The sequence below is a fragment of the Homo sapiens genome, chromosome 2 (assembly GCF_000001405.40).
Source record: "Homo sapiens chromosome 2, GRCh38.p14 Primary Assembly".
Classification (NCBI taxonomy): Eukaryota; Metazoa; Chordata; class Mammalia; order Primates; family Hominidae; genus Homo; species Homo sapiens.
The window spans coordinates 195,844,669-195,857,228 of record NC_000002.12 but is presented as its reverse complement, the minus strand read 5'-3'; the positions used below and the strand labels follow the sequence as shown (position 1 = coordinate 195,857,228).

The following is a 12,560-nucleotide window of genomic DNA, read 5'->3' as shown; positions in this document are numbered from 1 at the left end:
CAAGATTATGCCAACTAATAGTATAATACAGTGGTTCTTAAACTTTTTGGACTCAGGAACTGTTTATACTCTTAAAAAGTATTGAAGACCCCAATAAAATTTTGTTTATTTACCATATTAGAAATTAAAATGGAAAAATTTTAAAAATGTTTATTAATTCATCTTAAAAAGCAATAAAAATGTTACATGTTAATACAAGTGATTTATTTTTATTTTTTATAAATTTACATGTTTTTCTTTTAAAAATAGAAAAAAATACTGATGAGAAGAGTGGTATTTTATTATACTTTTACAAATCTCTTTAATGTGTGGTTTAATGTGAGATAGCCAGACACCAAAATCTGCTTCTTCATTCATTCTGTTGCAATATGTTGTTTTAATTAAAGTATATTAAAAAAAAATCCACCATCACACAGAGGTTTAGTTGGACGAGGGAAGACCTCGTGAGCTCCCCAAAGGGGCAAGTGTCGTCAGGATCCCCAGGGGTCCTTGGACCACACTTTAAAAACCACTGGCATAATGTATTCTTGTGAAATAAGGAGCCTTTTTTGGTGATTATATGAGAACTAGTTATATCATACGCAAAACAGGGTAATTATTATTTTTTCAAAAAACAACTGTCATAGGATGTTTTTCAAACTCATATCCAATTTTAATCATTCTATATATATAGTAGTGCTATATATGTTTCAGACCATGATATTAGTTAATGATTAATTTAATGTTTGTTAGATAACATGACTGACTCCATTTTCCAGATACTAGGGAGAGAATTTAGATCCATCCTTTTTCCTATATAATTCCTTTTATTACCACATACGTATTTATAGGATAACTGTTTTTGGTTGATGTATTCTAGGATTTTTTTAAGTAAAATGACAAAGATAAAAGATACCTCACTTTCTCATGAAAACTCACCTTTAACCAATTAGGCTTCTAATAACATTGTAATATTCTACATGACTATCCTACTCTCCTTTTGGAAAGTTATCAAAATTCATACTGGCAAAATGTTTTTTGTATATTTGATGTCTATTTTAATAAAAGGCCATTTCTTGTGTCCAGGATCAAGTTTGGATGATTGTTAGATGAAACAGGAAATATGGAAATCGGTTTAGATTTTTGCATAAAGAAGTGTTTTCAGTTATAGTAAGGGTATTAGAAAAGTAAATTCAGTGATAGAAAGTGTACTGGAATATTAAATGAATATTTAATTTTTCAATTTTACTTTTTGCAGAGTGGCAAAAATAGTAGCTCCCAAAAAGATAAAACTGGCTGCAGCTGAAGGGGAGCTTAAAATTGCCATGGATGGTCTTAGAAAGAAGCAGGCAGCCCTTAAGGAAGTTCAGGACAAGCTGGCCAGGCTTCAAGACACACTTGAATTAAATAAACAAAAGAAGGCTGACCTGGAAAACCAGGTGTGTGCTGATATAGAAAAAGATGGACAAATTCTCAGTTATCGTAACTAAGAATGATGTTCGTACTAGCACATAACACACCAGTCCTGTTTCCTTCCTGGTCAGGGATTGGCAAACTATGACCCGCAGGCCACATCTGCCCATCGCCTGTTTTCGTGTGGCCCAAGAGCTAATAATGGTTTTGACATTTTAAAATAATTACATATTAATGGCCATATAAATACCCATGAAATATGTAAATATCCTCAGTTTTGCTGCTTGGCTCACAAAGACTAAAATATTTATTCTCTGGGCCTTTCCAAAAAAAAAAAATGTCAGTCTGTCTGCCTTAGATTACTAGAATATAATATTGAGCTAGATTATTTAATCATTTTTCACTTTGCAAGTAAGGAAATTGAGAACCAAAATGTTAAGTGACGTAGGTTGTATGGCAGAGCTGAAATTAGAACTCAATACTCAGAACCACACAGTATCTACTAAAAATATTTTCAAGACTAAAAATACTACTCTAACTTAATTAGTGATACCATTTGGAAAAATTAACTGCTAAAGTCTGATTATGGGCCAGAAGAAATTCATAATATTTTATAACAGTCAACATTTATTGAATGCTTATTATGTACAAAGGCCGGTTGTTCTAAGAACATTACATATTATACTATTTATTCTCACAATAACCTTTTGAGGGAAGTAATGATTTTGTACCATTTTGAAGAAACTAAAGAACAGAAAGATCAAGCAACTTGTCCATCGTCAACCCAGTTTCTGAGCATCAAGTCTGAGACCTGAACCCAGGCAGCCTGATTCCAATAGCTGTACTCTTTCCAGGACACCAGACTGCCTCTTTCTATAGTAACTATCCTGTATTCTGTATTTGCACAAATGTAAGACATTGTGCTAATCTTTAGAAGTGTAACATATTATGGCATGATTTTTGAATGATCAGTTTTAGTTTAAATAATATAACCAACAAATGGTTATGCAGTTGCTCTCTTTAAACATTTTTCAACTCTCCTATATGTTTGAAAATTTTATTTTTTATGATAAAATATTAGAAAATTATGGTAATATAAAATGAACATATGCATATATGTGTATTACAAATGTGCTTTTGGAGGTAAAATTTTAGCCAAAATATTTTTACTTAGTAGTTTCTGATGGCAACTTTGCCATAGTCCAAGACCTGATTCAGTTTATCATAAACATTGTTGAAAGAAGAATAGGTGAGGAAAGAAACTAGAAAGACAAAAGATATTTAAAGAGGGAACATTAAAAGGGAAAAAAATTAAATTTAGGAAGTATCACAAATACTGCAATTACATACCATTTGCTTTTTTCAAATCTATCTTTAGATAAATTGATACAGAATTATACATCTTTTAATCTAAAATCATTGACTTGATATACATGCTAATAACATTAGTAAAAAGCACAAGCCAAATTCCTATTCCAAAATAACCTAAATGTCTTCGTTTTTGTTGATTGTTGAATTTATCTTTTCATGTAATTATTTTTGAACATCAAGATAAGCTTTATTTAATCTCATCTTCTTCCAAGAATAATGATGTTAAGGTACTTAAAAATTTAATCAAAATAATTCACATATTCTGCTGGAATATTGCTATTGTGTGAACTGAAATAACTTTTCACCAAGTTTGCCACCTTTGTAATTATCTCTCTTTTGTTATCATATTGCTTAATTACATATAATCACATTTGGTTGACAGTCTTATGCACCAAATAGGCTCTCAGCTATTGATTGGTGTCCTAATTTAAGCTGAATTGCAAGTGCCTGAGTAGTTTGACACAATTTAACAACCTGAAAATTGTGCTTTGTAAATAATCATAAATTATTAAAACCTTTAAACACTTAACCTTTAAGGCCATGATATAAGTTAAATGAGGGGAAAATGTTTGTAGAATATTTAAAACAAAATGCATCTAGATTATTTAAAATGGAGGGAAAATATCTATATTTGCAGAAGAATGTCCTTTATTAATTAACTTTCAGTGTCTTGTACTGTATGTCATTTCCTAAATACAGCTGTTCTTTGTATTATATGGTAAATATTCATTCATTATTAATTTCATGAATTATATTAGACACTTTATATTTACAAATTCTAAAATATCATGGACTTTCCTATATCATAGTGATATAGGAAATCCCAGGCAGAAGTCTGTCATTAAAAATAATAATTCACTTCTGAGGGTAAAATCTTGCAGAATTTTAAACTTCTTATACTTGTAAATGTTGATAAAAGCTCACTTTTATTTTCGAGGTTGACCTTTGCAGCAAAAAACTAGAACGAGCTGAACAGTTGATTGGAGGCCTTGGAGGTGAGAAAACTCGATGGAGCCACACAGCTCTGGAGCTAGGTCAGCTGTACATCAACTTGACTGGGGATATCCTCATTTCCTCCGGAGTGGTTGCTTACCTCGGAGCCTTCACATCCACCTATAGACAGGTAAGGGACACTATTCCATCTCTTCCTGACCCTCTGCCCATCACAGCCAATATAACCCTTCAAGGTTTTGTTTTACTTTGGTTTCAGTTTTTTGTTAAGTACAAGGAGGAAGGTATTTTTGCATGATTTCTGCTTGTGTATTTTAATTATTCTGTAAATTAGCTGGTTAGCCAAAAGATGCATATAATATACTCTTCAAAAATCTAATTGTTTTAAAAACAAAAATATCTACTTTAAAATGTAATGTGAAAATGGGGAGTCTCTGAACCTATTCTAGTTTGGGGCTGCCTGATTAAAAATAAAATTTTTTTTAAAAAGTAATGGGAAAATGGTAGCCTCTACTGATAACATCTCAGTTCCTAAGCAAGTACTGTAAAAAGGTATCAGAACTCTGTCTCTCTCTCTCTCTCTCTCTCTCTCTCTCTCTGTGTGTGTGTGTGTGTGTGTGTGTACTTCATCAGCTGTTTCCTATCAGTCTCAATAACAAGCCATTTCAAAATCATTTCAGGGAATGAAACTTGAAGGGAGGAAAAGGTGAGCCTGCCTAAAACCCTGTTGATAAGTGGCTTTGTTCCTTAGAAAACAAACCCCACGTTCCCTGCCTTGCCTCCCACCTCTCTGACTGATTCTGCCTCTTTCTTCTCCCTGGCGGAACATCTAACCCTAGGAGTTAATCCTAATTATTCTTCCTGCCTTTCTCTTCCACTTTTTAGTTTTTACTGAATGAGAGACCCAACATACTATTCAGCTCTTTTTAGAAAAATGGAACTGGAATCCAACCTGGGTCATGGCCCTATCAAAGCAGGCAAAGAGATTTAGAAAAATTAAGATAACTAAAAGAAAAAATGGGAGGGATGATAATGAGAATAAAAGAAGGGAGGAATTCAGAACATTTGGCAATAGTTTTTGGTGTCAAATGAGAAAGAGTACATGTTACATCCCCTTTGTATAGGGCTTTATAATTTCACTGAGCATTGGCTTACACGTGGTCTCAATTGAGCCTCATTTAATTTCAGAACTATCTCCTAAGGAGGGTTGACTCTTGGTGGTGGTGTTTTTCTTTTTTTGTTTGTTTGTTTGTTTTTGAGAAGGAGCCTCCCTCTGTCGCCCAGACTGGAGTGCAGTGGTGCGATCTCGGCTCTCTGCAAGCTCCACCTCCTGGGTTCACGCGATTCTCCTGCCTCAGCCTCCCAAGTAGCTGGGACTACAGGTGCCCGCCACCACGCCTGGCTAATTTTTTGTATTTTTAGTAGAGACGGGGTTTCACCATGTTAGCCAGGATGGTCTCAATCTCCTGACCTTATGATCTGCCCACCTTGCCCTCCCAAAGTGCCGGGATTACAGGCGTGAGCCACCGTGCCCTGCCAGTGGTGTTGTTTTTAACTAAATGTTTAAAATCCTCACCTAGTGGGTGCTTCTGTCTTTAGCACTCAGTGGTTACCTGCATCCTAATTTAGCACTCTTCCTACTCTCCTACATTGACATTTTGAACAATAAAAGGAGTAGCTTCAGCCACCCTTACCTTTCCCTGCTGGTTCAGAGCACATCACTAGGTGTCTGCACTGGCTCCTGTCTAGCATTCCAGAGCTCAGCAGAAAGTGTATTAGCACTACCCAGTGCACTAGCAGAATCCACTTTACCCAGTGCTTGGAGAGCTAGATGTACCATCCTCCCAACCAGGCCCTCTCTGACAGACTCAGTCCAAGGGACTGCCTCTTCTGACTTTGCCATCATCACCTAGCTACTATCAGAATGGGGGGCTGCTAGTCAGACCACCACACAAATGCTTCAAGGGTGCCTTAAGCATGTGAACTGAGACTTGGAAATTTACTGACAGACACAAAGCCACATTCAACTTAGACACAAGACATGCCAAAGCTCAGAGTGCCTTCTGTGAACTCATTCACTGTCTGAACCCTTGATTCAAGTAGTCACTTCATCCCATGCCACCTCATCTCTGTGAAGGCTTGAAGGCAATTTTATTCCTTCCTTGCTTCGCTAGATCAACCTGAATTTTTACTTTCCTTAACAAATCTCTCATGTCACTCTCATGTCACAGGAAGGAATTCCTGTGGATTAATTCTGAGTCCCACTTTGTCATCTTCACTCTTTTATCTGTTTCTCTCAGGTCAAAACAGCGAGCAGTTTATTTCCCATCAAAACTGTCTCATTCAATTCTCAGCGTAAGGGTTGGATGGCAAACATCAGGGCTCTGACCAGAGCCCTTCCTGGCTTCTGTGTGCTTTCACACCCAACGACTAGCACCTGTGGCTCTTTCTGTCAGACTTCCCTTGGGTTCCTAGAACCCACTTTACCCAGTGTTTGGAGAGCAAGAAGTGCCTGGGAATGTACTTCCCTCTTGAGCAGTCCTTAATGAATAATTGAAGGGAGCATGGGAGTCTCTCTCCCTTCCCCCTGGTTGGGACAGCTCCAAGGAATAGCTTACACTATGGAGGCTCCCTGTGGCATCTAACGAGGCCACCTGCTGCAGAACTTAGGCTGGTCCCTCACCCTTTATTGGCTTCTACTCCTCCTTGTCCTGCTTCCCCCTGCATCCTTTCCTCAGCATGTCCCCTCACATGAATCTTCATCCCACAGTCTGCTTCAGGGAACCCAAACTAAGAGACCTTACAACATTTGGTGCTTTTCTGACATCAAAGGGTTTCAAGTCTCTGGATATCAAGGGCCCTCAATAAATAGCTGCATTTCCCCTCCAAGCTTGAATCTGAGTAGTCGTCAATTATTTATCAACTCTTTTATAGATTCCTGGCACTTTTCATAAATAAAACATAGGAAAATCCAATTCTTCCAGGGTAACTGGGCCCACAGCTCTCAACTGCAATGCCTGTGCCATTTTCCAAAACAGAATCCTACAGTGCTATTATGAATATACAAGCCCTGGATTTGAATTAATTTGAACCTTCTAATTGACCTTTATCTGCCAATAACCAAAGTAGAAACTGTTTTAATGGTGTTGGGTATTTTCACCAAGATGACACTCTTAATGGCCAGTTTTCCACTTCTACCATCTCTCTCTCTCTCCCCTTTTTTTTTTTTCATGACCTTATGCCAGCAAATCCACCATCTAGCTCATCACCTGATTACCAGCCAAGGCCATTGGCTTGAATTTTGAGATGCTTGTTCGGAGTCCTCCATGCTCATTTTGGTTATTCTCTGATATTACACCCTTATAGACATGTAATTAGGCCTCTTAAATTGCTAATCCAGAGTTCATCTGTGGTAACATACTATACCTGTCAACTCTAAGCTGAGCATTCTGCAGAAACTATTGCTTCTATTTTCTCTACTTCTTCCCTATGTCATAGGCTAGCATGCCTACTCCAGCTTCAAGCTAGATCCAAGAAAGCTTGCAGACCTCTCCAAAATGTCTGTAGGCCAACCTACAGCCTGAAAACAAATGGAACAAAACATGCCAGTAGTGCTGGGTGAGGTGGCTCACACCCGTAATCCCAGAATGTTGGGAGGCTGAGGTGTGCCGATTGCTTGAGCTCAGGAGTTTGAGACCAGCCTAGGGAACATAGTACAACCCTGTCTCTACAAAAAATACAAAAAATTATCCGGGCATGGTGGTGTGTGCCTGTAGTCCCAGTCCTGCTTGGAGGCTGAGGTGGGTGGATTGCTTGAGCCCAGGAGGCAGAGGTTGCAGTGAGCAAGATCATGCCACTGCACTCCAGCCTGGGTGACAGAGTTAAGATTCCGTCTCAAAAAAATAATAATTAAAAAATTAAAAATAAAACATGCCAGAAGCAACTGTGTATAGAAGTCAAACTGGAAATGCTATCTGTCCCTCCTCCCTACGTAGCAATACCATCTGTTCCTCATATCAACAACCAAATAAAACAAAATAGCCAGATGATATTTATTAAGTACTTATGCTAGGGAGAATTTTGGCCCCTATGATCTTCACCTCCAAGTGTTGTATCTGTAACTATGCCACGTTACATGGCAAAGGGACTTTGCAGATGGAATTATGGTTGCTAGTCAACTGAGCTTAAAGTAGGAAGATTATCTTTGGCTATCTTGGACTTCACTGTAAGATAAAGCTGAAATGTCTTTTTTGAGCAAGAGTAAGGAAGTACCCAGAGAAAGATGGGGCCATGTCAAAAGGACACAGAATTTAGCTTAAGGGTATTCCCACTGGCCAAACTTGGACAATTTCAGCATCGCAATAAATAGTGACAGTAACATAACTCATTGGATAAAATATGAAAAAGATGAATCTATGCTGACATAAATTAGTAATAAAAAAATTGAATGTTTGAAAAAAACAGGACATTTTCATGGTTACAAAGTATCTCCCCGCAGAATGCTTATTACCTGCAAAGGGAATGGGGAAAAGAGCAATTTAACAGTGGGGAAGTTATAATATAATATTTCACAAGTGCTGTCTTAACCATTTTAAATAACAGTTAAAAACGCAGAATTCTTTCTTGTAAGTAGTTTGCTAAGCCCTCACCCCAACCATTTTCTTTACTAGGCTGGAACACTCCCGGGTTACAATAGATAGCTTCCAGAGGCCCCCAGATACCAGGGACAGCCCCTTCTTCCTTGCAACCACAGAATGATTCAAAATACCCAACCCCCAGGAAACATGTGAAACCCAGCTAATTCCATCCCATTTACCATATATAAACTGCCTCCCACAGCTCTAGCTTGATGCTACACTGTCTCCTGACAACACCTGTGTGGCCCTGTGTGCAGCCTTCTCCATTTGGAGCTATAACTAACAGAGTTCTGCCTTTCATTTATCTGAGTGTCTTTGCGTTGCATCCCACCATCTGAAGAATCTATAATCACACATAAGCTCATATAATTATGACACAGAAGCCTGGCAGACAACACTTTAATCAAGTGATAAAAATTAGTGTCATCAGTAAATGAACATCAAAGTGTCATCAGAAATGAAATTGTGTGCCATCTGATGGATGCAATGAGAAGAGCACATGATTTCTGTGACATTTCTGCCAAAGATGCATAACCTGGCATGGTGCCAGGAATCATGATGGAACACCATACAGACCCAGTTGTGGGGCTTCTGCATAATGTTAACAGGCTTATCAAGGTCATGAATGTCATCAATTCCCCCAAAACTGTGATGCCCTTTCTTGTGCAAACCTCAAGGAATGTTGGTCCAGCCTACTCAGCAGGAGCCTGAGGGAGATGGCAGTGCCCAGCGTGGCCTCTCAGCCAGCGCCACCTGTGAGCACCCAGCACCCTCATCAACCCAGAGGCTGGTACCAGCACCATACATATCCACCTTCCCCTTGCCTTCGTCTAACTCCTTTCTCTCCAGTTATGTCTTTCACTATTTCTGAAATCTTTTATCTGTAAACTCAACTTGGATACTGACTTCTGACTTTCTGAACACGAACCTTGGCTTGTAGTACCGCCCGGGTTCCTGAGCATCCTACAGACTGTCCCCCAGGTAGAGTCTCACAAACTGCATTATGTGCCCTGATCCTTATTGGCACTGAAATGCCCTGCCGTAGCCACTCGCAGGGCATGTGAGTCAGAAGTAAAAGTTTTCCGTCTCTCCTACTGGTTCAAAATGGATTTACTTTTCTACTATAATATTGTATGTGCTAGATATTTGTAACATAAAGAAAATACTTGGAAAAATGTGGTGGTCCCAACTACTTTGTAAATTGAATCTTTGTTTTTTTTGTTTTTTTTTTAACTTTTAGGTTCAGGGGTACATGTGCAGGTTTTTTACATAACCAAATTGTGTGTCAACAGGGTTCGGTGTACAGATTATGTCATCACCCAGGTAATAAGCATAGTATCTAGTAGGTAGTTTTTCAGTCTTCACCCTCCTCCCACCCTCCACCCTCAAGTAGGCCCCAGTGTCTATTGCTCCCTTCTTTGTGTCTATGCCTTGTCATCATTTAGCTCCCACTTATAAGTGAGAACATGCAGTGTTTGGTTTCCTTTTCCTGCATTAGTTTGCTTAGGTTAATGGCCTCTAGTTCCATCCATGTTGCTGCAGAGGACATGATCTTACTCTTTTTTATGGCTGCATAGTATTCCATGGTGTATATGTACCATTTGAGTTGATTCTATGTCTTTGCTATTGTGAATAGTGCTGCGATGAACATACACATGTGTGTTAGGATTCTCTAGAGGGACAAAACTAGTAGGATATATATATATCTGTTTATATATATAAGTATATATCTGATATATATATAAGATATATATATATCCGATATCCCACCATCTGAAGAATCAGATATATATATATCAGATATATATATATATATATGGGAGTTTATAAAGTAGTATTAACTACTAGAGGGACAGAACTAATAGGATTCTCTAAAAGGGCAGAACTGATAGGATACACACACACACACACACACACACACACACACATATATGGGAGTTTATTACGTAGTATTAACTCACAGGATCACAAGGTCCCACAATAGGCCATCTGCAAGCTGAGGAGCAAGAAAGCCAGTCTGAGTTCCAAAGCTGAAGAACTTGGAGTCTTCACATTTGAAGGCAGGAAGCATCCAGCATGGGAGAAAGATGTAGGCTGAAAGGCTAAGCCAGTCTAGCCTTTTCACGTTTTTCTGCCTGCTTTATATCCTGGCTGTGTTGTCAGCAGATTAGATGGTGCCTACCCAGATTAAGGGTGGGTCTGCCTTTCCCAGCTGACTGACTCAAATGTTAATCTCCTTTGACAACACCCTCAGAGACACACCCAGGATCAATACTTTGCATCCTTCAATCCAATCAAGTTGACATTCAGTATTAACCATCACAGTATGCATGTGTCTTTATGGTAGGACAATTTATATTTCTTTGGGCATATACACAGTAATGGGGTTGCTGAGTTGAATAATAGTTCTAGGTTCTTTGAGAAATCACTACACTGCTCTGCCCAATGGCTGAACTAATTTACATTCCCACCAGCTGTGTATAAGCAGTCCCATTTCTCTGTGACCTCGCCAGCATCTGTTGTTTTTTCACTTTTAACAAAAGCCATTCTGATTGGTGCGAGATGGTATCTCATTGTGGTTTGGATTTGTATTTCTCTAATGACTAGCGATGTTGAGCATTTTTTCATATCCTTGTGGCTGCGTGTATGTCTTCTGTTGAGAAGTATCTGTTCATGTTCTTTGCCTACTTTTTAAAGGGGTGAGTTGTTTTTTGCTTGTTAATTTGTTTACGTTCCTTATGGATTCTAGATATATTGACCTTTGTCAGATGCATAGTTTGCAAATGTTTCTCCCCATTGTGTAGGTTGTCTATTTACTCTGCTGATAGTTTATTTTGCTGTGAATAAGCTCTTTAGTTTAATTAGGTCCCACTTGTCAATTTTCGTTTTTGTTGCAATTGTTTTTGGCATCCTTGCCATTTAATCTTGGCCAGGGCCTATGTCTAGAATGGTATTTCCTAGGTTTTCTTCTAAGGTTTTATAGTTTTAGGTTTTACATTTACGTCTTTAATTCATCTTGAGTTGATTTTTGTATATGGCGTAACGAATGGGTCCAATTTCAGTCTTCTGCATATGGCTAGCCAGTTACCCTAGCACCATTTATTGAATAGGGAGTCCTTTCTCCATTGCTTATTTTTGTCAACTGTGTCAAAGATCAGATGCTTGTAGGTGTACAGCTTTATTTCTGTGCTCTCTATTCTGTTCCATTCATCTATGTTTTTGCACCAGTATCATGCTGTTTTGGTTATTGGAGCCTTGTAGTATAGTTCAAAGTCAGATAATGTGATGCCTCTGGCTTTGTTCTTTTTGCTAAGGATAGCTTTGGCTATTCGGGCTCTTTATTGGTTCCATATGAATTTTAGAATACTTTTTCCAAATTCTGTGAAAAATGTCATTGGTAGTTTGATAGGAGTAGCCTTGAAAATGAAGCTTTATAATAACAATTGGTAATTATTTTTTCCAGATACAAAATTCTGACTTAAGTGCTTAATCTAGACTTTTATCTCAACATTGAATATGTTGAGTACATAGCTGACCTTCTCAATTAAAATTTTATTTGAAATAAGAATCTGAGAAACAGAAATCATTTTTGAGGTAGAGTTTCCACAATGGTTTGTTGACTCAATGAATACAGTATAAATTGAGGAATTATAAAGCATGCTTTTGATAACCTCCAGTCTCATTTCTTTATCTTTCTGTGGATGTTCTAAAGAATCAAACTAAAGAGTGGACAACTTTGTGCAAAGGAAGAGATATCCCCTGCTCAGATGATTGCTCTCTTATGGGTACCCTGGGAGAAGCTGTGACAATTCGAACTTGGAATATTGCTGGATTACCTTCTGACTCATTTTCCATTGATAATGGGATAATCATAATGTAAGAAAAATATTTTTCTCACAAATGGTCTTTATTAAATAACAGTAGATTTATCTGTGTTCCTTTAACAATTTTAGGTAGCAAACTTTTACAGTATTAAAAAATTACTTAACTAATTAGTGAAATTAAGTATGAGTAATCACTTCCTTCTCTTATTAATATTATAATAGTTGAGTATTAGACACTGTAGTAAACAAATGAACCAGATGACTTGTACTTAATTTTTTTAAATTAATTTTTAGCAAATAGAGCAAAACCCTGCCTTAAGTAAGGGAAGTCCAAAATTTTCATTTCCATAAAATACAGGGTTTTGTTATTAGAGGTTAATGAAAT

At 37.7% G+C, this 12,560-nt stretch overlaps 1 protein-coding gene across 12 annotated transcripts in view; it reads left to right on the top strand.

Annotated features, from left to right (window-relative positions):
- The window catches only part of DNAH7 (dynein axonemal heavy chain 7), a 331,135-nt gene that overhangs the window by 211,609 nt on the left and 106,966 nt on the right, over nucleotides 1-12,560 (top strand). For 8 of the 12 annotated variants that reach the window (XM_011511488.4, XM_017004504.3, XM_011511490.4 and 5 more), the window contains 3 exons: nucleotides 1,238-1,418; nucleotides 3,701-3,886; nucleotides 12,064-12,227. In XM_011511488.4, coding sequence (XP_011509790.1) covers nucleotides 1,238-1,418; nucleotides 3,701-3,886; nucleotides 12,064-12,227 — 531 coding nt within the window. Of the gene's footprint in view, nucleotides 1-1,237; nucleotides 1,419-3,700; nucleotides 3,887-9,591; nucleotides 9,675-12,063; nucleotides 12,228-12,560 lie in introns of those variants that run through there. The other 4 variants (XM_011511494.4, XM_011511493.4, XR_922968.4 and 1 more) reach the window with 3 other exon arrangements.